Here is a 12,968-nt window from a genome sequence, read left to right as displayed (position 1 = left end):
AGCCTAGGTTTCTGTGTTGCTTTTGCTTATGCTGAGACTCGGTGATCTCCACCTGTTTCTAAAACCAGCTCCCTATCTCCTGCTGAAGAATGTTCCTTTTGTTCTTTGACTTTTGATTCTGTGTCTTGTGTTTTAAGGTTCAGTTTAGGAATCTCAGTATACTTTAGGTTGATTCCCTGGAATTCAAGTGAGATGCATTTTTTTCTTTTTTTGAGAAATTAATTAACAATTTATGCTAATGTGTGGATGTTTAAGTTCCTGGCATTTGACTGAGCTTTGTAATGTGTACTTTCTACACTGTGGAAAGAAGGAGTTCTAAAAATATATATATAGCCAGGTGCAGTGGCTCACGCCTCTAATCCCAGCACTTTGGGAGGCCGAGGCGGGTGGATCATTTGAGGTCAAGGGTTTGAGACCAGCCTGGCCAACATGGTGAAACCCCGTCTGTACTAAAAATACAAAAATAAGCCAGGCATGGTGGCAGGTGCCTGTAATCCCAGCTACTCGGGAGGCTGAGGCAGGAGAATCGCTTGAACCCAGGAGGTGGATGTTGCAGTGACCTGAGACTGTGCCATTGCACTCCAGCCTGGGCAACAAGAGTAAAACTCCATCTCAAAAAGAAAAAATATATATATTCTCAGAAAGAAAATATATCTATCTATCTATATAGATAGATAGATAGATTTCAAAATATGAATTTTTTTTTCCTATCAAGATAGAAGATCCTGTTAATAAATTTGGAGAACAATTAGATATTCAACAAGTAGACATTGTGCATTTCTACTTAATGGACATCTGTATTGCCAGAATGCCATTGAACATGATCCTGCTTTTAAAGTAGTGGTTGTCCAAGAAAGGAGTACGAGGCTGAGAAGATTCTCTTAGAGTGACAGAATTGCTAGATTGAACAAGTTGATTCAGAATAGGTTGCTATACGTCTCTCTTACGGCTTTCAAGGATTCAGCAGGCCATTCTGGACAAGATCTACAAGAAAACATAGGTGTTTCATTTTGAGTGATAACCAAAGGTTAAACCCAAAACCCTTAGGTTCAGGATTTCAAAGTATAGGCCATACTAAGAGAAAATATTTATGACACATATACACTTGATTAATGCAGCATTTACATTTGTTTCTGTCAATAAGCTAGCAGGGAGCAAGCTAATGTGTAGGGTAATAGTGACAGACATACACCAACTTAAGAGGAACAATCAGTGTCTTACTGTCAGGCTGCCACTGATGCCCAGCTAGTGCATCATTGATCCTCACCTACAAGATTTTCTTCCTCATTTCTGCATAAGGAGGCTAAAGTTACCTCAAAAGCTGGTGGTCGTGGTCTGCAGAAAACTCAGCTTAGCATTCCCCTTTAGAGATATGGGGATACTGATGCTCAATGTTCAATGACAGCACAGCTGCCTGGACTTTATGATAAAACTCTCACTAGAGATTGAAGTTTATAGGAGCCTTAGCCTAGATTCTCATTAGTTCTTCCACAGACTTTCTCTCAAAAACAAGCAACATGTTTATATTACCCACTTTTCACATATAAGCATGTTTTTCCCTTTTAAATAAATTCTCTCAAAAATTACATTTAAAACCACATTTTACATAAACATAGTTATGAAATTTCTTAATAACAACATATTTGTAATTTGACCAAGTGGAGTGAAAACCCTCTATCAAAACAAATGCACTTTAGTGGGGAACGAGGCATCCTTTATAAATACATAAACGAATCATACACAGCACAATATCTGTGCAATATTGGTTAGCTTCCTTCTAATTCATCTCCACATGTCTTAGAACTATAAGGAATCTCCCATCATAACTCAATCTTCCCCACAACTGAGGCCCACAGCCTGAGCTGGCCAGATTCCTTTGAGGGAACTGAGTTTCCATCTCTCACTCCCTGTCATCAGCCTACTAGAAACCGAGGTGAAGGAGTGTGAATGACTTGGAGCAGTTCCTCACTGACAGAAGAGCACAAGGAATTTTCTCTCTGCAACATCTCTGCAGCAGGGGGCACCACTTCCCAAATCAAGCTTTGCTGGCGTTTTTGAAATCTGGAGGAAGGTGAAAAATGACTATTTTCATAAAGTAGGTGAAGGAAAATTCTGGAAGAGTACATCCATTTTTTTTATGCTCACCTGGAGAAGATTTGAAGGAGAACAAAATTATAAGTATCTGAAGTCAAGCAAGCACACCATGGGTCTGAGGTTGTTCTTGCTCCCTCCTGCACTTTGACTTCGTCTATAGAATGTCAATAGCCCTGTAGGCTGATGTAGATATCTTTTAGTGGGTTAATAAATAAGGGTTTTTGGTTCAAATTGCATGTAGTGTCCTTTTGCCAGCAGTGACATATGTTTTTAACACTCTAAACTGAAACAAAGAACAAGAACTTCAACAAGAACAAGTTCCCACCCTGGTAGTCACATGCACTCAAAACACCTCTTTGGAAGAGGCCACTACCACCGAGGGCAAAATTTCAAACAGTTAATGAGCTCCCAGGCTGTTTTCTTGAGTAGGAAAAATAATTGAAATACTCAGCAATAAGAGAAAAGCCAAACAGGTGATGGCACATCTGTAGGATGCAAAACTATGCTGCCATTATAAATGCACTCGAGGAGAATATGTATGGAAATGGGAAAGCATTCCCTTTATGTTGTTAAGCAATAAAAAAAAAAGAGAGAGAGACAGAGAGCAGCCATAAAATAGTACCCACATTTTAGTTTTTAATATAATCAGCAAAAAACCTGGCTGGAAACTTGTAAATTTGAAGAGTGTTTATCTTTGGTTGGTGAGATTATAGCTGACTAGTTTTTTTTTAAATTTTGTTTTTAGATTTATGACTTTTCCAAATTTCCTAACTTTTTTTTCTTTCTCCTTTTTAATTTATTATTATTATACTTTAAGTTCTAGGGTACATGTGCACAACGTGCAGGTTTGTTACATATGTATACGTGTGTCATGTTGGTGTGCTGCACCCATTAACTCGTCATTTACATTAGGTATATCTCCTAATGCTATCCCTCCCCCCTCCCCTCACCCCACGACAGGCCCCACTGTGTGATGTTTCCCATCCTGTGTCCAAGTGTTCTCATTGTTCAATTCCCACCCATGAGTGAGAACATGTGGTGTTTGGTTTTCTGTCCTTGCAACAGTTTGCTCAGAATGATGGTTTCCAGCTTCATCCATATCCCTACAAAGGACACGAGTGCATCCTTTCTTATGGCTGCATAGTAGTCCATGGTATATATGTGCCACATTTTCTTAATCCAGTCTATCATTGATGGACATTTTGGTTGGTTCCAAGTCTTTGCTAATGTGAATAGTGCTGCAATAAACATACATGTTCATGTGTCTTTATAGCAGCATGATTTATAATCCTTTGGGTATATACCCAGTAATGGGATGGCTGGGTCAAATGGTATTTCTAGTTCTAGATCCCTGAGGAATCACCACACTGTCTTCCACAATGGTTGAACTAGTTTACAGTCCCACCAACAGTGTAAAAGTGTTCCTACTTCTCTGCATCCTCTCCAGCATCTGTTGTTTCCTGACTTTTTAATGATTGCCATTCTAACTGGTGTGAGATGGTATCTCATTGTGGTTTTGATTTGCATTTCTCTGATGGCCAGTGATGATGAGCATTTTTTCATGTGTCTGTTGGCTGCATAAATGTCTTCTTTTGAGAAGTGTCTGTTCATATCCTTCACCCACTTGTTGATGGGGTTGCTTGATTTTTTTCTTGTAAATTTGTTTAAGTTCTTTGTAGATTCTGGATATTAGCCCTTTGTCAGATGAGTAGATTGCAAAAATTTTCTCCCATTCTGTAGGTTGCCTGCTCACTCTGATGGTAGTTTCTTTTGCTGTGCAGGAGCTCTTGAGTTTAATTAGATCCCATTTGTCAATTTTGGCTTTTGTTGCCATTGCTTTTGGTGTTTTAGACATGAAGTCCTTGCCCATGCCTATGTCCTGAATGGTATTGCCTAGGTTTTCTTCTAGGGTTTTTATGGTTTTAGGTCTGACATTTAAGTCTTTAATCCATCTTGAATTAATTTTTGTATAAGGTGTAAGGAAGGGATCCAGTTTCAACTTTCTACATATGGCTAGCCAGTTTTCCCAGCACCATTTATTAAATAGGGAATCCTTTCCCCATTGCTTGTTTTTGTCAGGTTTGTCAAAGATCAGATGGCTGTAGATGTGTGGTATTATTTCTGAGGGCTCTGTTCTGTTCCATTGGTCTATATCTCTGTTTTGGTACCAGTACCATGCTGTTTTGGTTACTGTAGCCTTGTAGTATAGTTTCAAGTCAGGTAGCGTGATGCCTCCAGCTTTGTTCCTTTGGCTTAGGATTGACTTGGCGATGCGGGCTCTTTTTTGGTTCCATATGAACTTTAAAGTAGTTTTTTCCAATTCTGTGAAGAAAGTCATTGGCAGCTTGATATGGATGGCATTGAATCTATAAATTACCTTGGGCAGTATGGCCATTTTCACGATATTGATTCTTCCTATCCATGAGCATGGAATGTTCTTCCATTTGTTTGTGTCCTCTTTTATTTCATTGAGCAGTGGTTTGTAATTCTCCTTGAAGAGGTCCTTCACATCCCTTGTAAGTTGGATTCCTAGGTATTTTATTCTCTTTGAAGCAATTGTGAATGGGAGTTCACTCATGATTTGGCTGTTTGTCTGTTATTGGTGTATAGGAATGCTTGTGATTTTTGCACATTGATTTTGTATCCTGAGACTTTGCTGAAGTTGCTTATCAGCTTCAGGAGATTTTGGGCTGAGACGAAGGGGTTTTCTACATATACAATCATGTCATCTGCAAACAGGGATAATTTGACTTCTTCTTTTCCTAATTGAATACCCTTTATTTCTTTCTCCTGCCTGATTGCCCTGGCCAGAACTTCCAATATTATGTTGAATAGGAGTGGTGAGAGAGGGCATCCCTGCCTTGTGCCAGTTTTCAAAGGGAATGCTTCCAGTTTTTGCCCATTCAGTATGATATTGGCTGTGGTTTTGTCATAAATAGCTCTTATTATTTTGAGATATGTCCCATCAATACCTAATTTATTGAGAATTTTTAGCATGAAGGGCTGTTGAATTTGTCGAAGGCCTTTTCTGCATCTATTGAGATAATCATGTGGTTTTTGTCATTGGTTCTGTTTATATGCTGGATTACGTTTATTGACTTGCATATGTTGAACCAGCCTTGCATCCCAGGGATGAAGCCCACTTGATCATGGTGGATAAGCTTTTTAATGTGCTGCTGGATTCAGTTTGCCAGTATTTTATTGAGGATTTTTGCATCGATGTTCATCAGGGATATTGGTCTAAAATTCTCTTTTTTTTGTTGTGTCTCTGCCAGGCTCTGGTATCAGGATGATACTAGCCTCATAAAATGAGTTAGGGAGGATTCCCTCTTTTTCTATTGATTGGAATAGTTTCAGAAGGCATGGTACCAGCTCCTGTTTGTACCTCTGGTAGAATTTGGCTGTGAATCCATCTGGTCCTGGACTTCTTTGGTTGGTAGGCTCTTAATTATTGCCTCAATTTGAGAGCCTGTTATTGGTCTATTCAGGGATTCAACTTCTTCCTGGTTTAGTCTTGGGAGGGTGTATATGTCGAGGAATTTATCCATTTCTTCTAGATTTTCTAGTTTATTTGTGTAGAGGTGTTTATAGTATTCTCTGATGGTAGTTTGTATCTCTGTGGGATGGAAGGTGATATCCCCTTTATCCTTTTTTATTGCCTCTAATTTGATTCTTCTCTCTTTTCTTCTTTATTAGTCTTGCTAGCGGTCTATCAGTTGTGTTGATCTTTCAAAAAACCAGCTCCTGGATTCATTGATTTTTTGAAGGGTTTTTTGTGTCTCTATCTCCTTCAGTTCTGCTCTGATCTTAGTTATTTCTTGCCTTCTGCTAGCTTTTGAATGTGTTTGCTCTTGCTTCTCTAGTTCTTTTAATTGTGATGTTAGGGTGTCAATTTTAGATCTTTCCTGCTTTCTCTTGTGGGCATTTAGTGCTATAAATTTCCCTCTACACACCGCTTTGAATGTGCCCCAGAGATTCTGGTATGTTGTGTCTTTGTTCTCGTTGGTTTTAAAGAACATCTTTATTTCTGCCTTCATTTCATTATGTATCCAGTACTCATTCAGGAGCAGATTGTTCAGTTTCCATGTAGTTGAGCGGTTTTGAGTGAGTTTCTTAATCCTGAGTTCTAGTTTGATTGCACTGTGGTCTGAGAGAGTTTGTTATAATTTCTGTTCTTTTACATTTGCTGAGGAGTGCTTTACTTCCAACTATGTGGTCAGTTTTGGAATAGGTGTGGTGTGGTGCTGAGAAGAATGTATATTCTGTTGATTTGGGGTGGAGAGTTCTGTAGATGTCTATTAGGTCTGCTTGGTGTAGAGCTGAGTTCAATTCCTGGATATCGTTGTTAACTTTCTGTCTCGTTGATCTGTCTAATGTTGACAGTGGTGTGTTAAAGTCTCCCATTATTATTGTGTGGGAGTCTAAGTCTCTTTGTAGGTCTCTAAGGACTTGCTTTATGAATCTGGGTGCTCCTGTATTGGGTGCATATATATTTAGGATAGTTAGCTCTTCTTGTTGAATTGATCCCTTTACCATTATGTAATGGCCTTCTTTGTCTTTTCTGATCTTTGTTGGTTTAAAGTCTGTTTTATCAGAGACTAGGATTGCAACCCCTGTTTTTTTTTTTGTTTTCCATTTGCTTGGTAGATCTTCTTCCATCCCTTTATTTTGAGCCTATTTGTGTCTCTGTGTCTCTGCACATGAGATGGGTCTCCTGAATACAGCACACTGATGGGTCTTGACTCTTTATCCAATTTGCCAGTCTGTGTCTTTTAATTGGAGCATTTAGCCCATTTACATTTAAAGTTAATATTGTTATGTGTGAATTTGATCCTGTCATTATGATGTTAGCTGGTTATTTTGCTCGTTAGTTGATGCAGTTTATTCCTAGCATTGATGGTCTTTACAATTTGGCATGTTTTTGCAGTGGCTGGTACCGGTTGTTCCTTTCCATGTTTAGTGCTTCCTTCAGGAGCTCTTGTAAAGCAGGCCTGGTGGTGACAAAATCTCTCAGCATTTGCTTGTCTGTAAAGGATTTTTTTTCTCCTTCACTTATGAAGCTTGGTTTGGCTGGGTATGAAATTCTGGGTTGAAAATTCTTTAAGAATGTTGAATATTGGCCCCCACTCTCTTTGGCTTGTAGAGTTTCTGCCGAGAGATCAGCTGTTAGTCTGATGGGCTTCCCTTTGTGGGTAACCCGACCTTTCTCTCTGGCTGCCCTTAACATTTTTTCCTTCATTTCAACTTTGGTGAATCCGACAATTGTGTGTCTTAGAGTTGCTCTTCTCAAGGAGTATCTTTGTGGCGTTCTCTGTATTTCCTGAATTTGAATCTTGGCCTGCCTTGCTAGGTTGGGGAAGTTCTCCTGGATAATATCCTGCAGAGTGTTTTCCAACTTGGTTGCATTCTCCCCGTCACTTTCAGGTACACTAATCAGATGTAGATTTGGTCTTTTCACATAGTCCCATATTTTTTGGAGGCTTTGTTCATTTCTTTTTACTCTTTTTTCTCTAAACTTCTCTTCTCGCTTCATTTCATTCATTTGATCTTCCATCACTGATACCCTTTCTTCCAGTTGATCGAATTGGCTACTGAAGCTTTTGCATGTGTCACGTAGTTCTCGTGCCATGGTTTTCAGCTCCATCAGGTCATTTAAGGTCTTCTCTATGCTGTTTATTCTAATTAGCCATTTGTCTAATCTTTTTTCAAGGTTTTTAGCTTCTTTGCGATGGGTTCGAACATCCTCCTTTGGCTCGGAGAAGTTTGTTATTACCGATTGTCCGAAGCCTTCTTCTCTCAACTTGTCAAAGTGATTCTCCGTCCAGCTTTGTTCTGTTGCTGGCGAGGAGCTGTGCTCCTCTGGAGGAGAAGAGGCACTCTGATTTTTAGAATTTTCAGCTTTTCTGCTCTGGTTTCTCCCCATCTTTGTGGTTTTATCTACCTTTGGTCTTTGATAATGGTGACGTACAGATGGGGTCTTGGTGTGGATGTCCTTTCTGTTTGTTAGTTTTCCTTCTAACAGTCAGGACTCTCAGCTGCAGGTCTGTTGGAGTTTGCTGGAGGTCCACTCCAGACCCTGTTTGCCTGGGTATCACCAGCGGAAGCTGCAGAACTGCAAATATTGCAGAATGGCAAATGTAGCTGCCTGATCATTCCTCTGGAAGCTTTGTCTCAGAGGGGCACCTGGCTGTATGAGGTGTCAGTTGGGCCCTACTGGGAGGTGCCTCCCAGTTAGGCTACTCGGGGGTCAGGGACCCACTTGAGGAGGCAGTCTGTCCGTTCTCAGATCTCAAACTCCATGCTGGGAGATCTGCTACTCTCTTCAAAGCTGTCAGACAGGGACGTTTAGGTCTGCAGAAGTTTCTGCTGCCTTTTGTTCGGCTATGCCCTGCCCCCAGAGGTGGAGTCTACAGAGGCAGGGAGGCCTCCTTGAGCTGCGGTGGGCTCCACCCAGTTCAAGCTTCCAAGCGGCTTTGTTTACCTACTCAAGCCTCAGCAATGGCAGGCGCCCCTCCCTCAGCCTCGCTGCTGCCTTGCAGTTCGATCTCAGACTGCTGTGCTAGCAATGAGCGAGGCTCTGTGGGTGTGGGACCCTCCAAGCCAGGCACGGGATATTAACCTCCTGGTGTGCCATTTGCTAAGACCGTTGGAAAAGCACAGTATTAAGGTGGGAGTGTCCCGATTTTCCAGGTGCCATCTTTGAAGGCTTCCCTTGGCTAGGAAAGGGAATTCCCTGACCCCTTGTGCTTCCCAGGTGAGGCAAGGCCATGCTTCAGCTCACAGTCCGTAGGCTGCACCCACTGTCCTGCACCCACTGTCTGACAAGCACCAGTGAGATGAACCTGGTACCTCAGTTGGAAATGCAGAAATCACCCGTCTTCTGCGTTGCTCACACTGGGAGCTGCAGACTGGAGCTGTTCCTATTCGGCCGTCTTGGAACCTTCCCTCCAAATTTCCTAACATTTCTGTATTTGAAATGTGTTACTTCTCTAATCAGAAAAAAAAAAATTAACATGTTATTTAAAATACTGACTCCTTAAATCAGACATTCTGAGGTCCTCTCCAGCCCTGCAAATCCCCTCTTCTTACTATAGTGGAGGTGGCACATTCACCTAGAATTTTGGGCTCCTCTTCTGAGTAGTAGGTGATACTAATAGAAGAATATTTGGAATTCCAGGATTTGCTCAGAGAACTCTTGGCTAATTTTTATGGGGTGAATCTACTTCTTTCTCCCAGTGCATCCTCCTCAAGAAAAATGCTTCACCTACTGGATAACTAGAATTTCCTCTTTGTTGTCTTTCAGAAGGCTGCTTGGTAACACACACTAGTCAGGAAACCACTACTTTTGAAACAATATTTTTCTCCAAGAATTATTATTATTGACTCTTCCCTTTGTCTTCTGTCATTCTTAAGAAGGCAAAGCTAGGTTTTAGGAGGAAAGCTTGGGCGTTGTCTGAAAACAGATACAGATATCATTAAAAGTCTTGTGGGACCTAAGCAAAGTGCCTGTCCCATCTGAGCCACTAAGAAGCAATACCATGGCCTGTATTAGCTGCAGAAAGGCCCTTAAAAATAAGGCAGTCAGTACTAGAAAAGGCAAAGGAATTTGTTAAGCTGCCACTGCAAGCAAATGACAGGACAGAAACCAAACCCAGGGTGCTCTGCCCGACTAGTTCCATGACTATATGGGAAATAAAGCCACATATACAAAATCACATGGTGTATATAGCTGTGAAAAAGCTAGCATGACATTAGCTTTTTTAGGTAACAAGGCTAAGCTTATTGTCAGACCTGATGCATTTTCATCTTTTGATGCATATGAACTTTCTTTTCTACAGGATTAGGGGATAGAGAGAGGTAACTACAGAGTATGCCCACTATTCTATGGAGAATATTTCCTCTTTAGGTTTGCTGTGTCCAGAGTCTTAGCTTTAATTTAATTAAGAGATCACCAGGAAAAAGACACACGTATTCATCCATGTCTCCCTAGCACCTGGATCTGCATTTGACATGAGGTGGACTTCTGTGTTTATTATTCCCCATCTTCCTATCCAGCTGGAAAGTGGGTCTTACCTCTGTGTGTAAAACAAGATCTATCACTCCCAAACCACATGTGCACACACACACACACACACACACACACACTATGAACTGAGTGCCCACAGGAAAGATACTTATTGGTCAGTCATCCTTACCCAGCACACTGGACACCTGGATTTAAGTAAGTTCATGATGATGGAGAAAATGGAGAAAGTGAATTGAATTATTTGTAAGTCCATGCTTATGGAAAAATGAGGAAAGAAATAGAATTATTTAGTCTGAAGCTCAGAAAGTGAAGACTTTAAATCATACTTACCATGCTTACAAGGGTGATTGTAGGATATAATATAATGAACAAGAATAAATCTTTAAGACAGGGACAGATCATGCTTGAACATGTTATTTAGGTCAAGAGATCTCCATCTTCACTATAGACTAAAGGAGAAGAGATGAATGTAAACTAGGGAGGCTTAGACAAACCTAGGAAGTTTCCAGGGAATCTGCTGTCTCTAGACTTGACAAAGGGGCAAAAAACACCTCTCTCTTTACTCTTCTGATTCTTTGTATCCATTGGAGGGGGAAGGTGGACTGTGTCACTGAAGACCTTTCATCTCTGAGTCACAGTAAACATCCCAAGAAAGCAGTCCAAAATGATATCCTGAGAAGTCTACTTGAAGTCAAGTAAAATAATAATTAATGTGTACAACTATATCCTAGGCTTAACCTCAAACCTGTGTAGCTAAATGGGAGAGTTAAGAGAAGGGAGAAAAGGTGAAAATCGTACTGTGTTAGCATCCGGCCACCAAATAGAGGCAAATAAAGGAGATACTTGCTTTTTAATCCTGGTGCCAAGGTCTCTGGATAGAAAAGGCTGGTGTAAGTCAGGTGTTGTGGGAGGAATTTGCCTCTGAGGGATGGACAGTGGTTCACATGGCCAGATCAGGCAGCAGATGTGTGCCGATGCTGGCGAAGCCTTCGTCCTTACAAGAGACAAGTCAAAGAGACCCGAAGTAATGAAGAGAATGCAGAGGGTGGAGCCTCCAGCAAGCACGAGTTGAGGAGTAGTCTGGGGTTGTGAAGATGGGTATTTTTACAAAAGCAACCACATTTGAATTTGTATCTTTGATGAGAATTTTTGCACACTGAGTCTTGATGTCCTCAAAAAAGAAAATACAATAATAGGAGAGCGCCCCCTGCCGGCAAGCAGTGAGCTAGGCATCTCTACCTCTGAGCCTGATTGACCCGGCTCCCCTTCCTCGGTTTAGAAGGTGCACAGAAACCTTAGCTGAGCTGCTTCTGTTTCATTCTTGAGGGCGTGGGGGTTTTCATGGCGGTCCGGATCTTCTGTGCCTGGAGTCAGCCTAGGTTCACCATGCTGCCTCTCCTCTGCATTTTTCCTCCCCTCCAACTTCGCCCTCAGTCTCTCTCCAATCTCAACTTTGCCACACTTTTCAAGAGGCAATTTATTTTCACCAAATTTCAGGGTTCTCAAAAGACAGTAAGATTAAGTTTGGCTTCATACACTTCCTCCTTTCCATTCTGCAGATATCCTAAGGAATTGCAAAAGGGTCTGGCTCTCTGCTTGGAACTAGAGGCATGAGGAAAATACAAAGAGAAGAAAGAAAAAGTAGTATCTCAGCAAACTATCCTGCCTCACATATGTTCTTTAATTTTCTTGCTGGAAAATCTCTGGGCCCTGTCTCTATGCTCTTTCCATCTCAGGGTCCAGAATAGGGAGAATATGAAATTATATCCATGTGGGTGTAATATCAAATTTACCTTGAACCCCAGTATTAGATCCTGACTTGCAAAGACAATCTCTGAAAAGGTAAAGGGGTCTGTATGTTGGGCGCCTCAGTTGCTCTTTCCTGGCCTAACTTAAAGAAGGGCTTTGAAGTGTGTGTGGTGTGTGTGTGTGTGAGAGAGAGAGAGAGAGAGAGAGAGAGAAAGAGAGAACCTTAACTGGGAAAGGGGCTGATTTTTTTGATGATTATCTCTTCCTCAGTCTCAATGTGGATGGGGAAATTTCCACTGTGTGGTAGCATTCGTGAGAACCACCCTTTCTACTCATTGCCAAAAGTTAGAAGTTATTGTTGTACAGATTTTTGTTAGTTGGGAAACAAGATAATTCTATAAAAATGTGGAATATTTCTATTAGAATCATTTAAAAAACAAATGCCCTTAGACTGTGTCTTTTTGCTCTCACTACTATGTGTGATCATGAATTCACAAACACTCCTGATTTTTCTGAAGTAGTGGTCTACAAACTCTAACATAAACCAGGATCTCCTGGATTAGCATTCTCTAATAAGCTGGAAGTTTATTAGGTAAAAACACAAAAATACGTGAGGCCTACTACTAATAATACAAGTCAGAGTATCTCCAGATTATTGACTCTGGGATGTCCAAGTCAGTACACATTGTTGAAGACAGAAACACACTTGTGCTACAATAAAATGTGAGCCATGTAATACAATAGATTAGGGGCCAGCCTGGCCAATATAGCAAAACCCCATCTCTACTAAAAATACAAAAAATTAGCCGGGTGTGGTGGCGCATGCCTGTAATCCCAGCTACTCAGGAGGCTGAGGCAGGAGAATCGCTTAAACCTGGGAGGCGAAGGTTGCAGTGAGCCAAGATCGCGCCACTGCACTCTAGTCTGGGTGACAGAGTGAGACTCCATCTCAAAAAAAAAAAAATAGATTAGGGGATATGAAATATCTGAAAGGAAGAAAAGGAGCCAAGAAAAGGAAAGGAGGAAAGAAGAATACAAGGGGATACAAACAATAAGCACATGAGAAGATGAAGTTTCCAGTGTGGCAGATACTCTCTTC

Source organism: Homo sapiens, chromosome 14, assembly GCF_000001405.40.
Source record: "Homo sapiens chromosome 14, GRCh38.p14 Primary Assembly".
Lineage (NCBI taxonomy): Eukaryota > Metazoa > Chordata > Mammalia > Primates > Hominidae > Homo > Homo sapiens.
The sequence above is the reverse complement of the archived record's forward strand: the minus strand, read 5'-3'. Positions refer to the sequence as shown.